General features: G+C 36.2%; 1 protein-coding gene across 1 annotated transcript in view; it reads left to right on the forward strand.

Annotated features, from left to right (window-relative positions):
• Positions 1–13,763, forward strand: part of CPE (carboxypeptidase E) — a 119,540-nt gene that overhangs the window by 10,418 nt on the left and 95,359 nt on the right. The gene's annotated exons all lie outside the window — the stretch shown is intronic.

Genomic DNA, 13,763 nt, shown 5'->3' on the forward strand with positions numbered 1-13,763 from the left:
ATTTCTCAAGAATGTTTTTTTCAGGAAGTTTTCTTGGGCTATTATTGTTCTCTGGGTTTTTAAACAGTTGGGCTAACTTTGCCTTTGCTTTCAACAGAATGTTAACCGGATACCTTCTGAGATAGGTTACAACTTCATGGCTTCAAGTATTGGTTGTGCTGGAGTTGTCTTCCTCCCTGGAGAACAGTCCTTGAGAACTAATTTCATAGCCAAACATGCTAAAACTGTTAGAAGGTTGAGGTGACTTAACGGCCATTTATAAATTAAGCTCTGTAAAATTATTTGGCAAATAAATATTATTAAATGCCACTAGCATAATAAATGAACAAGTCCAAACATCTAGTGAAAATTAGAATTTCAATTAGATTTAGGACATATTTTATATTGTCAGTGCTTTATTTTCACAGTTGCCAAATTATAAAGTGAAATGTCTTCTCATTTCTTAAGGAGTCTTTTTCAAACTTGTCTGTCTTCTCCTGGAATCAAGATAGTGACTGCACATTTCAGAGTGAACCATCTGGTGCAGGTCTATAGTAGGTTCTTGATGTGTTGTTGAAAGTGGTGAGTGAGTGAACACTTCAGAATGAATGACACACATATTAGATCTAGTTATACACACTTTGCCAAACCATTGACATGCATGCAAGCACACCTGCTTCTCCAGCTGCAAGGCAAATAGTTATATCAATCCATAATTCTGCCTTCCTTCTAGAATGGTGACCTTGAGGAGAGGTGGCTATCTTTGGCAGATTAATTACTGTATCCACAGTGCTTGGCATGTATATTTTGTCACCAACTGGGTCTTATGTTAATGTTCCACCCTAGGCTGGTCGTGTTTCTTGTTCTGGTGTTTTCTATATTGAGCCCTGGTTCTGTGTTGCCTTCAGTCTACTCAGTGAGATGCAGGTCCTCATTCTGTTCTTGCATTTAACATTAATTTCTCCATACAATGGGTCAGACTCAGTACTTAAAATACGGAGACTTCCTCCTCTGGAAGAATTTTTGCCGCCATTTCTTGATTCCAAATGTATGAGCTGCAGAAAACTTTAGAGGTGTTGAACATGTGCAAAATACCTGATAAAAATGCTTCTATGTGTTAATGCATAGGAAGAATTCTATAAACTTTCCTCAAATTAGCCTCCTTCAAATTAGAATAACTTTTGGGTTGAATGTTATTAAATACTTAGAATTGTCTCCCCATTGTCCATAATGGGTTAGTTTCAGTATTCCACTGGTCAGTGTAGCATTGGGATTAGTAGCATTTTTATATTTTCATATGTATGAGTAACACACATTTTTACTCTACTTGTCAAACCCATTTCAATTTCTAATTTCCTCTCCACTAGTTAACTATGGAGTGAACATGAGAAACTTCATTAGAAGAGTATATTCATTTTACTCATGTGTCTAAATTGTTAGGTTGTATGTTGAGGACAACTCTAGGTTTCTCTCCAGCAGTGGGAAACATGAACTATGTGATATTTTTAATATTTTTGAGATCCTTTTCTATTGTTTCGAGACTTCTGAGTATGCTTTTTAATATAGATTCAGATTACTGGATAGATGAGAGTGAGGGCACCTTATGCTATTTTAACAAACATTTTCCCTTCTCCTTTGAGTCTATTTCAGTTTGCACAAACTGTATCTTAAAAAATTACACCTAATTTTCAGGGACATCAATTCAGTGTGAGGTATTTTTCCTGAATAGTTTTAAAACTGTTATTCTTGTTGCTGTTATTATTTTAACATTGAAGCTGAACTCATTGGATACTATAATTTTGTGACCTCTGCATACAGGGAAAGTGAATCAATGAGAATGCATTTCTTAAATGAATGTACAGAAGAGTGAGACTTGTTAATATTTTTTCAAAAATTCATTGGACAAAGCTAATGCATTCATGGGCTCCATAAAGACAGTAGTACAGGGAAAACATTCATACCTCTGCCAACATTTCCAAAAGGCCAAGAAGGCTCTCATTCATGGAACATATTTCATTTTCCATAATATTCTCAGCCCTCAGACCAAGGTAGTAAGAATACTTTATTATCAAAAAGGCCCTACTAACAACTTGCAGTGTAAATCATCCTAATTGGACAGATCACTGAGAAAAAACAAAGACATTCATTCACCAGGCATTTGGAAATTCCAGGTAGAAATGCTTTCAAACCAGGCCACATTTGGAAATCAAACTCTGAGTAGTAGAGGGCTGTAAACGAAATACTGCATCTTTCATTTCTGTATAGGTTATTATATTTGTAGCGCGAATGTACTTATTTAACAATAATAACTAAGTGCCTCCTATATGAGTGACATTCTGCAGATTGAAGAGGTATTTCAAAAGGGAACAAGAAACAACAGTATTTTACCAAGTACTTTGTATGAAGGTATTGACTCTAATTCTTCAGGGAGTTATAAGAGAGTGGTCTACAGTGGAGGGCTTTCAGAAGGAGGTGGAGCTTTGAGCAGGACTTAAAAGATGCATAAGGTATGGAAAGTCAAAGAGAGGACTTTATTCTAAGCTAGTAAAAAATCATTCACATTTCTTGTGTCTTTTTCTTCATTGTTCTGAATGTGTGACATATAAGCATTCAAGATACATTGTGCCAGATAATTATGTTCCATTAACATGTGAAATTTTCATCTACAGAAAATTTTTGTTTAGAGAATGCAGTTTTGGGGGTGCTGTGCTTTGGGGCTGATTTCCCTCATCAAGACGGTAAAACTATTTGGGATGGAGCATATACTAATAGAAATATAATATACTTATATATATATAGTATATGTATACTAGTATATATACTAATATATAGTGTATATATAGGTATATAATATATATTTATATATTTACATATAATAGTATGTATCTATAATATATATAATATATCATGTATTGTAAATATATGATATATGTATATGTAATATGTAATATACATATATCATATATTTACAATATATGTATATATTATGCATACATATTCGGAGCTAATCTTTGGGTATTAATGAGAGTGGGAGTCCAGAGCCTAGCATATATGTAATATGTAATATACATATATCATATATTTACAATATATGATATATTAAATATATAATATATGTATATATTATATTAAATATATATTTATATATTATAATGGAGCTTATACTTATATATTATATTTATATTACATTATTCCATTACTATAGTATAAATATACTATTATAATGATATTATAAATATAATGAAATGTTATACATATTTTATTATATTTATATATCATATCATAATGGAGCTTATCGTAGTATAAGCTCCATCCCAAATTGTTTTATTGTCTTGGTGAGGGAAATCAGCCTCAAAGGACAACACCCCAAAACTGCATTCTCTAAAATGAACATTTTCTCTAGATGAAAATTTTACATGTTAATGGAACATAATTATCTGGCACATATATAGTCTGTTATAATATATCACATATATAAATAATATATATATAAATCAAACATAATACAGTTATATAGTATATAATTATAAGTAGAATTATATTAAGCATATACTAGATTATATTGTAATTAGCAACAATTGATTACTAATGCTTTTCCTCCCTAGGTAGCTATTATTGAGCACTCTCTAGTAAGCCATGGAATATAAAGATGTTATGTAATTTTGATTTTGTTAGGCTAATTTCCAGCAGTTAAGTATAGTTCAATTAGTGTTCTGTTTTGACTATGTAATTCAAAAACTATGTTTTGTAAAAACTCACAAAAATAAGAACAAGAACAAAAAAAGCAATGTCATTTGAGTTATTGAAGGAGAATTCAGCCCATAGATTTTCTCCATGCTTTGGCAGCTGTTTTAGAGCATTCATCCAGCTGCATTTGTCTAACACTTGAATAATGATCATGCAGTTTGTCAGATGCTTTTGGGAGAGAAATTCACTATGCAGAAATATTTAGTATTTAACTAATTTTTCCAATTATAGGTTTTTGATTAGGGTAAATTTATTTTGAATTACTCCTGATGTTAAACCCAATCTTCATTAGTGTTCCATAGAATTGTGAAACATTAGAATTATAGTTTTTTCCTAGCTAGAAGGAGCACTCTCATTTTATAGATGATTAAGTTGAGCTTCAGAGAGACATTAAACAACCTGCCCAAGGTTTTGAAGCCCAGGAGGCTTGGAACTCATTTTCTGATACACAGTTGGACACTCTTCTTAAAGTATTTCCCATAACAATGTACACAGTTGGAGAAATGAACATAACTATTTCTTACTGGTCATGGAGGGTCATGAGCTGTTTATGTGAACTGAAGTCTGTGAGGGCATTACTGGAATGTAACTTATCAGTTATGTTTTCAAATCCTTAGAGCAGAACTTCTTGACCTGTGTGCTGTAAATGGCTATGGGTGTGCCGGAGGCGGATAGACAGGGCCTAGGGTGGCAAAAAACCAGGAAAGCATTGAAATAAATCACTCCAGCACACTGTAAGTACCTACAGAAAATGTTATTTTTCTTGGCAGTAGAATCCACTCTCTAAGAAGAAACAAGCTTTTGTTGGAAGACTGCTCTGATAAACTTTTTGGAGGGCTGGGCCTTCAGGAAGGCTGAGGACCTAAAGTGGATAAAAAGGAGAGGGTATGTAGAGAGTCAGAGGGTATGTAGAGAGTCAGAGAGAGAGAAGAGAAAGACTTAAGGGCTGGTGGCTCAAGAGAAACTTTGGGGAAACAGAAATAATGGATGGGGACATCAGCAGATCTACAGTGCTCCATAATGATTTGTGGAGTAAATTACTTTGGGAGATGGGATGAAGTGCTTTAATTTTGCTTTGAGTTAGGGACTGGTAAAATCCAAGATTGCCCAAGGAAGGACTGTTCCATATAAGTTACAATACAGTTATGAAAACTTATTAGCAAAGATCAGATACCTACTATACCACAGTGCTTCTGTGAATAGATTCAAGTAATTTTTTGAATTTAAGCCCGGCATCTCCCACATGACTGACCATTTAGGAATCCTGGTCCTAAGAGAACATGACCATTGGGAGTGGGCCTCTGGGAAGGGTGTTGTGGTGTGCAAGGGCAACCCTCAGTTGTGTGCACCACGCAGAATGAATCATGTGTTGTGTCGCTGGAAGTTAAGGGTGAATAATATAAATAACTAAAAATGGGTGAGGTTTCCTGTTAAAAAAACATACTCGTGTTGATCTGTTCATGTGTCTACATTACATTTCAATGTGATTCAGTAGGGAGGATTTCTTGGGCCCAGTAGTTCGAGACCAGCTTGGGCAAAATAGCAAGATTCTGCCCCTATTAAAATTTTTTTTTTATGTGAAAAATGTTACTTGTGCTGAAGGGGATCACATATTTGTTGAGAATGTTTTCCAAACCAACAATCATCACACAATTTCTCAAAGGACTTTATTTCCAGGTTTGTGAAAGTTTTATGAAACATATTAAAATGTTATAAGAATCATTGATAATATATTGCATGTTTAATGAACAGCCTTTATTAAAAAGAAGAAATATATAAAGGAACTATATCTGGAATGAAGAGCCTCCTTAAATGATTGGACAGAAAATAGTGGTATGAATTACTGTAGGAATTTAAGAATATATGATATACGTGTGAATGATGTTTTTTTGTTTTGATTTTTGTCCTGTGACAAACTCTACCGAAATGATTAGTTGATGAATTCTGTTGGTAATTTATAGTCAGGATATTAGCAAGCAAAGTATTCCAAAGTCTTCTGGCTGATGTTTATGTGAAAGGGTGTGTTCTCATATGAGCAGGAAATGGGCTAATAAGGCAATGAAAAGACTGGAGATAATTTCACGGTTAATTTGGGGTAAAATTTATTTTTATTATAATATTATTTGTGGTGAAAGTATTAAGTCTGAATTATTCAGACAATTGCTTTAATTCTCCATTTGACATTTGACCTGTGCATAGAGCTAACCTTTGGGTATTAATGAGAGTGGGAGTCCAGAGCCTAGTCAAGTAAGAGATTAGGAAGCAGAGATGGAAAGAAAGTTCTACCTATGCCAAGGGTCAATGCACAGTACTGGTAATGATTTGATTCGGCAGTTTTATTAGCAGCCATTTCTTTGACAGACTAATAAAAATGACTTACAGATTCTTTTCCAAGTTATCTTATATAAATGGATTATGATGAAAAATGTGTGAACCACATTTCATCTTCTTTCTTGCCTTCTGTTAAATATGTGTTCAGCTTAGAAATTAAATAGCACAGGATAGAACTTGAAATCATAAATTCTGTGCATGATATGTAGTTCAAAGGGATTACATGATAATTCACATGTAGAGAATTGTACAGGATAGTTGGGAAATGTTTCTCAACCCTCAGAGAATGCTCACTAGGCACATGCATAACATGTAGATGCCCAAAGCATTTCAGAAATAGAATTACAAAAAACCCCCAAAACACTTGTCATGAAAGGTTTGTGAACCTAATCTCGCCTGTATAGACTGGGCTAATTCTGATAGTAAGAGGAGTTCTCCCTTCTCTTAAGTAAACAAAAACTATTGGCTTTCATCCAATCGGTTATTCTAAGACCACTGCAACTTTTTTCTCTCACAAAAAGGAGTTGCCCTAAAGAAGTTTCATTTGCTTTGATCTTTTTTTTCCTCCCTCCTCTAAAGGAAAAAAGGTATGTGTGTGTTGAAATCTAAAATATGGCAAAGTTTCCATTTAAAAATACTTTTTAGATAACCAGATTTGCTCTTCGCACAATGAGGTCTTTGGTCCCTGGGAGATATTTTATATCATATTCCTGAATTTGTTCCTGGAGTCATCTTTAACGGGGCTAGGGAACTTATTGGGTGCTGTAAGAACTGTTGGTATGACCCACCATGCTCTCTCTGTCTCTCTCTGTAACTCCTACAACTTGACTTTGAGATAGATCTAAAGAAGTGAGCTATCAAATGTTGGAAATATCAGGTAAGAAGTTAAGATAGGCTGGTCATGGTGGCTCACACCTGTAATCCCAGCACTTTAGGAGGCCAAGGCAGGCAGGTCACTTGAGACCAGGAGTTCAAGACCAGGAGTTTGAGACCAGCCTGGCCAACATGGTGAAACCACATCTCTACTAAAATACAAAAATTAGCAGGGTGTGGTGGCATATGCCTGTAATCCCAGCTACTCTGGAGGCTGAGGCAGGAGAATTGCTTGAACCTGGGAGGTGGAGGTTGCAGTGAGATGAGATTGTGCCACTGCACTCCAGCCTGGGCAACAGAGCCAGATTCTGTCTCAAAAAAAAAAAAAGATAAGGGAGATTATTAAAAACAATAAGATAGACGGAAATATAATATTTAAGGTTAGAGAAGAAGGCTGAGTGTGGTGGCTCACTCCTGTAATCCCAGCACTTTGGGAGGCTGAGGCAGGACAATCACTTGAGCTGGGGAGTTTGAGACCACTCAGACTCACTTGAGACCAGCCTGAGCAACATGGCGAAACCCTGTCGCCACAAAAAAAAAAAAAAATTACAAAATGTTAGCCAGGTGTGGTGGTATGCTCCTGTAGTCCCAGCTACTCAGGAGGCTGAGGCGGGAGGATGGCTTGAGCCCAGGAGGTTGAGGCTGCAGTGAGCCATGATCACAGCACTGAACTCCAGCCTGGGTGATAGAATGAGACCTTGTCTCAACAAATAATAAAAATTAAAATAAAAATAAGAAAGTGAAGCCAACTGAAAACAAAAAGTATTAAAACACAGAGAAAGTTAGAAAATAAAGTTTAAAGATGAAATAGAAAGGCCAAGGAAAAATGTTTAAATGTTGTGGAGAGAATATGAATGTACTATATATTATTGCTCACCCTTAAATAATGCTTGGTATATGCCAAGTGATGTTTAAAGGCACGACTTACCCACATATCCCTTATGGGTTTGGTACTATAATTATCCCCATTCTATAAATTAGGAAACTGAGGCCCAAAGAGATTAAATGATTTATTTAACATCACAGGTTTGTAAGTGGCAAAACCAAGATTAGAATATACATGTATATATAGCTACATTCTTAAATACGCAATTCGGTATATTAGACACCTATTTATTTTGTCTTCCTGCCTTCTGATATTAGCTCCTCTCTTCCCTTCTTGGGGAAATGTTCCTTCTTACCATGTGACTTGAGTGGAAGATGTTGCCATGTTCTTAGACACTCTCTTTCCATGCTTTCAAAGTAAGCATCCTTTCTACCATCTTATCTTGATTATACAACGTATTTCCAAATATTATTTTAGATTCTCTGCATTTTCATCAGATAAAACAGGATTATCTCCCTTTTATAGGACAAATAATCATTTCCACTTAAAAATGGAGCTGTATTAAAAACAAGCTTTTGGCCAGGCATAGTGGCTCATGCTTGAAATTTCAGCACTTTGGGAGGCCAACGTGGGAGGATTGCTTGAGGCCAGAAGTTTGAGACCAGTCTGGGTGACATAGCAAGACCGTGTCTCTACCAGAAAAAAAAAAAAGAAAGAAAAATTAGCCAGGCATTGTGGTACATGCCTATAGTCCTGGCTACTCCAGAGGCTGAGGTGGGAGGATTGCTTGAGCCCAGGAGTTGGAGGCTGCAGTGGGCTATGATTGCATCACTGTACACAGCTTGAGCGACAGAGCAAGTCCTCATTTCTAAAAAAAAAAAAAAAAAAAACAAAACCCCACTAAGGTTTTAATGTTATCTTGTACATTCATACTAAATAATTTAGAGGCTGGTAACAAAAAGAATATTGTTCTGGTCTCAATTAATTAATTATTCTAATTAATACATAAACTTATTTTATTAATTGCTTATTTACATCAGATATAATATTAGTAAAAGATTGATAAGAGCATGTACCAGTGACAATTTTCTGAGACATTAAGATTTTTCTTTATGTTTAGGACTATTAGCCTACAACTGCTAATATATACACATATATACACACACATATACACATGCATACACATATACACATATATGTATATAGGTGTATGAATACATATAGGTACATATATACATATAGGTACATATATACAAATGTGCATGTGTATACATATGCATACACACACATTTAAATGGAGTATGTTTATCTAGAAATCAGGAAAGTTAGAAACTGAGAGTAAATAAACATTTAAAAATGGAGAGGCAAGTGGCTTTTCAAGATAGCCCTGATTTTAGGTCAATGGAAAAAATCTAAGCAGTTATTTTAACTAAAGTATCTGGTGATCATAGTTTGGAAGATCTGGAATTTTAAGGTGGGTGGCTCACTTGACTTGAAAATCCAATATTTTTTCTGAAGTAGGTGTTGCCATGGTGACAGAACGGCTTAGCAACTGAAGACAGATTTCATTGGCTGGCTGTCTGCAGACTTGCTTGTTGAGTGGCATTAATATGTTGCCTCCTGCTGTTTTTTTTCTGAGGAGACCATCTGGCATTAGCTGTATTTAAAGGTACAGTTCTGTTAAACAAAGAATACCAGGTGATATACACTGAGGTGTTAAAAATATGTTTTGCAGGCATTAGTTGGTTTAATCAATCAATGACTAAGAAGTTCCACTTCAAATCACAACCTATTATAACCAATTAATTCACTATTCTAGGCTTTGACAGTAGGCATTAAAGGGTTTTATTGTGGTACTTACTTATATTATAAAAATTTAATTGCCTAAATGTACTATACTAAATGATCATATTAATCTTGATGTGCCTAAAAATTAATCTACTTGATAAACTGTTCTCTCACATTATATGTTCATAAACCAGAGATGTAGTTTTAAAATAATGTTTACTGAGGATGTTTAATATATCAGAGCATAAACAGCTGTCAGTTTTTCTTTTACTTTTGAGGGTGATAAAAATAATGGATTTTCAAGTAAGATGTATTAAGATGTCAAATGCATCTATTCTACTAATTATAACTGTTGATTCTAAACAATAAATACCTGTTGTACATCTGTGAAAAGACATACCCTCTTTTTTATTTTTTGAGAAAGAGTCTCTGTCACCCAGGCTGGAGTGCAGTGGCACGATCTCGGCTCACTGCAACCTCCACCTCCCAAGTTCAAGCGATTCTCCTGCCCTGGCCTCCTGCCTCCTGAGTAGCTGGGACTACAGGCACACGCTAACACACCCAGCTAATTTTTGTATTTTTAGTAGAGATGGGGTTTCACCATGTTGGCCAGGCTGGTTTTGAACTCTTGACCTCAGGTGATCCACATGCCTTGGCCTCCCAAAGTGCTGGGATTACAGGTGTGAGCCACCGTGCCTGGCCACATATCCTCTTTTAAAGGAGTTCCCTATATACTAGGGAGGATAAGACACATGCATATGTTATGATAAGATAGAAAATGACAAGTACCTTAAGAGTAATACAAAGCGAAGTTTGAGATTGAAGAATGGAGGACACATTTAATAAGGATACTCACCGAGACTTCTGATTGGCTTAATCTTGACCAGTGTAGAGGAGAGAAGAGAATTCTAGGAGAAACAGAAGCAATCATCAGTGTTATAATCCCAGCCTCTCTAAGAGTGGGTTCCAAGATAATGTTCAGAGGATAATAACAGAGCACTTTGTGCTTAGACCTTACTGTACATGTAGAGGAAGCAAAATCTTTACAAGTAGGTCTTTGGCCATATCATGAATATCCTTAAATGCTAGACTGAGGATTTAGACTTCATTTGTTTGGGAGTTAACAGAAATAGATCACTTGTGCATTGCTAATTTAAGAAAAAGATATTGTATGCTTTTGACATATTTAGGGAGGTGTTGTGGACCCACCACCTGGAGAGAGATATATGGCCAGCAGTTTGAAATGAAATTCATTTCATAGCAGAATTTGAGGACAGAGGAAAAGATTTAGGAATCACTTGCATGACTGGTGAGGGTGAAAATGGTGATTATGGATGAGATGACTGAGGGAGGGAGAATAGGCAAAGGAGAGAAAGTGTATCAGGCAGAAACTTAGAACACACCAACATTTTTAAGATTAAATGAGCAAGAAGAGAGCAGAGAGATGTAGTCAAAGAAAGAGGCAGTAGGTATGATTCAGAGCTGTAGTCTCAAGATAGGACTGGGGGCATATGACGATGCCCAGTGCTGTGGAAGTTAATGAAGCAGAGGATACAGTAAAGGTCACTCACTCCCAGCACTGGTTGGAAGTCGCTGGGGACATTTGGGGAAGTAGTTTCAGTAGAGTCAAGAGGAAGAAGTCAAACAAATGGATAAGGAGTAAGTGAAGGGCAGTTTCACCTCTAACACTCACCTTTTCTCTCACCCATTCATCAAACCAAGCCTTTCTTTTTTAAAGGCTAGTCAAGTGAAGCAGTGGGAGTAAAGAAGGAATAAACTAAGTTTTTTGAAAGATTACATACTATTTTCAACACACATTCATTCCTGAACTCATATCATTGTGGCAGTCACTGCATTACTCTCTTCATATGGTTCTCACAAAGGGCCACTACTGACTTCTTAATAGGGTGACCTTATGTCTTTGTTTCCAACATATTCAGTGTTCCTGGGGTATTTGTTAATAGAGCCCTCTTTCACCCTCAAAACTGTCCTAGTTTGGATGATAAATTATGAGTTATCCCAGCTCTTCATCACCAGTTCTAATGAGCCGTTTTCAATCTTTATCTTACTTGACCTTATTTGATTTTTTTTTTCTTTACACAGCTGACTACTCCCCTTTAGTGTGACTTGAAACCCCACTTCTTTGATTTGTACTGGATAACTCTTCTGGTTCTCCTGACACCTTCTCAGTCTTTTCTGCGGCCTTCTCTTCTGTACACCCTGTAAGTGGTGCCATTGCTTAGAGTTCTGTTCTTGGTTTCTTCTCTTCGTTACACGCCTTTTCCATAGACAGGCTCACTCATAACAACAGGTGCAGTTAACTAGAAGCCGGTGAAGGAAAAATATAACCCTTGTTTCTCCCCAGTGAGCTTTGGATTTGCACATCCACCTGCCTAGTACACTTTTACTATAAGTGATAGTCAACATGTGGATAAGAACTTGAGCATTGGAGTGAGACATAAGGCTGCCAGGTCTGCCGTTTAATAGCTTAATGGCCTTAAAGAAGAAAGTCTTTATGTGGCTCAGCTTCCACTCTGTAAAATCATGAAACCTGTCACGTAAGATTTATGTGCGGGTAAAATGAAATAGCACATGTAATGTGCTGAGCACAGTTAATGGCACACAACATACACTTAATGAATAATAGAAATTATTATTATTTCCCAAACTGTATTCTCCTCTCATTATTTCTTGTCTTGTGGAACATCTGCCTTCCTGAGTGGAGGAGGGTTTATGTGTGGGGGAACATGAAATACTTTTGGAAAGATTGAGTGATGCCACAATATATGAGGCCCTGGAAGCTGGACAGAGGAATTTAGACACAATGGTGGGTTACAGGGGCTTCTGCAGTCTTGTGAGCATAGAATGATTCTGTGGAAAGTGGTGTTGTAATAAAATTAGTTATTTTAATATTAAGCCAGATGTGTTTAAAGTAGGGGTCGGGAGGCTGGGCAAAAGGCTGATAGAGTAATACTGGCATAATTTGATGAGGACCTGGAAAGGTGTGGTGACAATGGAATGAAGAGGAAAGGATAATTAGGGAAAGGTGATAAATGGACAGATTATTTTATTTTTTATATCAGTTCTTTCTTCAGAAGGTTGTGAGATATTTCCATCAAAAATATATATTTAATAAAAATGTAATAAAGCTTCTTTATGGATCAAGAAGCCACTACTGTTTTGTACCTATTTATTTGTGAAAGAGAAGGAAAATGTGCTAATAATAATAGTGGCCAACATTTTCAGCCTGATTCTCTCAGAGTTTGCTTAGATGATCATTTACCTCTTCAGATCTTTGAAAGAATTTCATAAATGACTGGTCCCATTTGTAACCTTTATTATTCTCATAGTTACACAGAATTGTTGAGATGCATACTTCAGTATTAAAGGATGTTGGTGTTTCTAGTGATTCTGGCCGGTTACATGACACCATGTGATACAGTTTGGATATCTGTCCCTGACCAAATCTCATGCTGAAATGTAATGCCCAGTGTTGGAGACGGAGCCTGTTGGGAGGTGTTTGGATCACAGGGGCAGATTCTTCTTGAATGACTTGACACTATCTCCTGGTGAGTTCTCGCGAGATCTGATTAAGTGTATGGTACCTCCCCCACCTTACTCCCTTTCTCTCCATGTGACGTGCATGCTCCTGCTTCTACCATGAGTGAGAGCTCCCTGAGCCCTCCCCAGAAGCCGTGTAGACGCAAGCACCATGCTTGTACAGCCTGCAGAACCGTGAGCCAATTAAACTTCTTTTCTTTATAAATTACTCAGTCTCCGGTATTTCTTTATAGTAATTCAAGAATGGCCTAATGCACCATGTAAATTAAAATATACACTTGCAAATATGTCACAAAAAGACTTACTCTCCCCCGAAGAGGAGTCAATACAAAAACCTGAAGAATGTGGCAAGTGGAAAAACAGAAATGAGAAAACTACCTTTGTTTATAAAAAATATTTTTAAGATATTTTTTCTTTGGAAATAGATTGTTCTTTTGAAATCTGGAATGTAAAATGCCAGACTCTTCTTCTGTTTTTCTGGATTTGAAACAATCGAACACTGGGAAATATCTGATCCTGAACTAAAATGCAGGCACACCAAATTTGAACTCAGATTGAAAAAGTTAACACTGGGAATCAACTAGAAATTAACGGTGATTATGAAGAATATTTTGATTGCTATTTGATTCTTTCATAGCTCTGTAAAACTTATGTAAGC

This window comes from Homo sapiens, chromosome 4 (genome assembly GCF_000001405.40).
Source record: "Homo sapiens chromosome 4, GRCh38.p14 Primary Assembly".
NCBI classification, from domain to species: domain Eukaryota; kingdom Metazoa; phylum Chordata; class Mammalia; order Primates; family Hominidae; genus Homo; species Homo sapiens.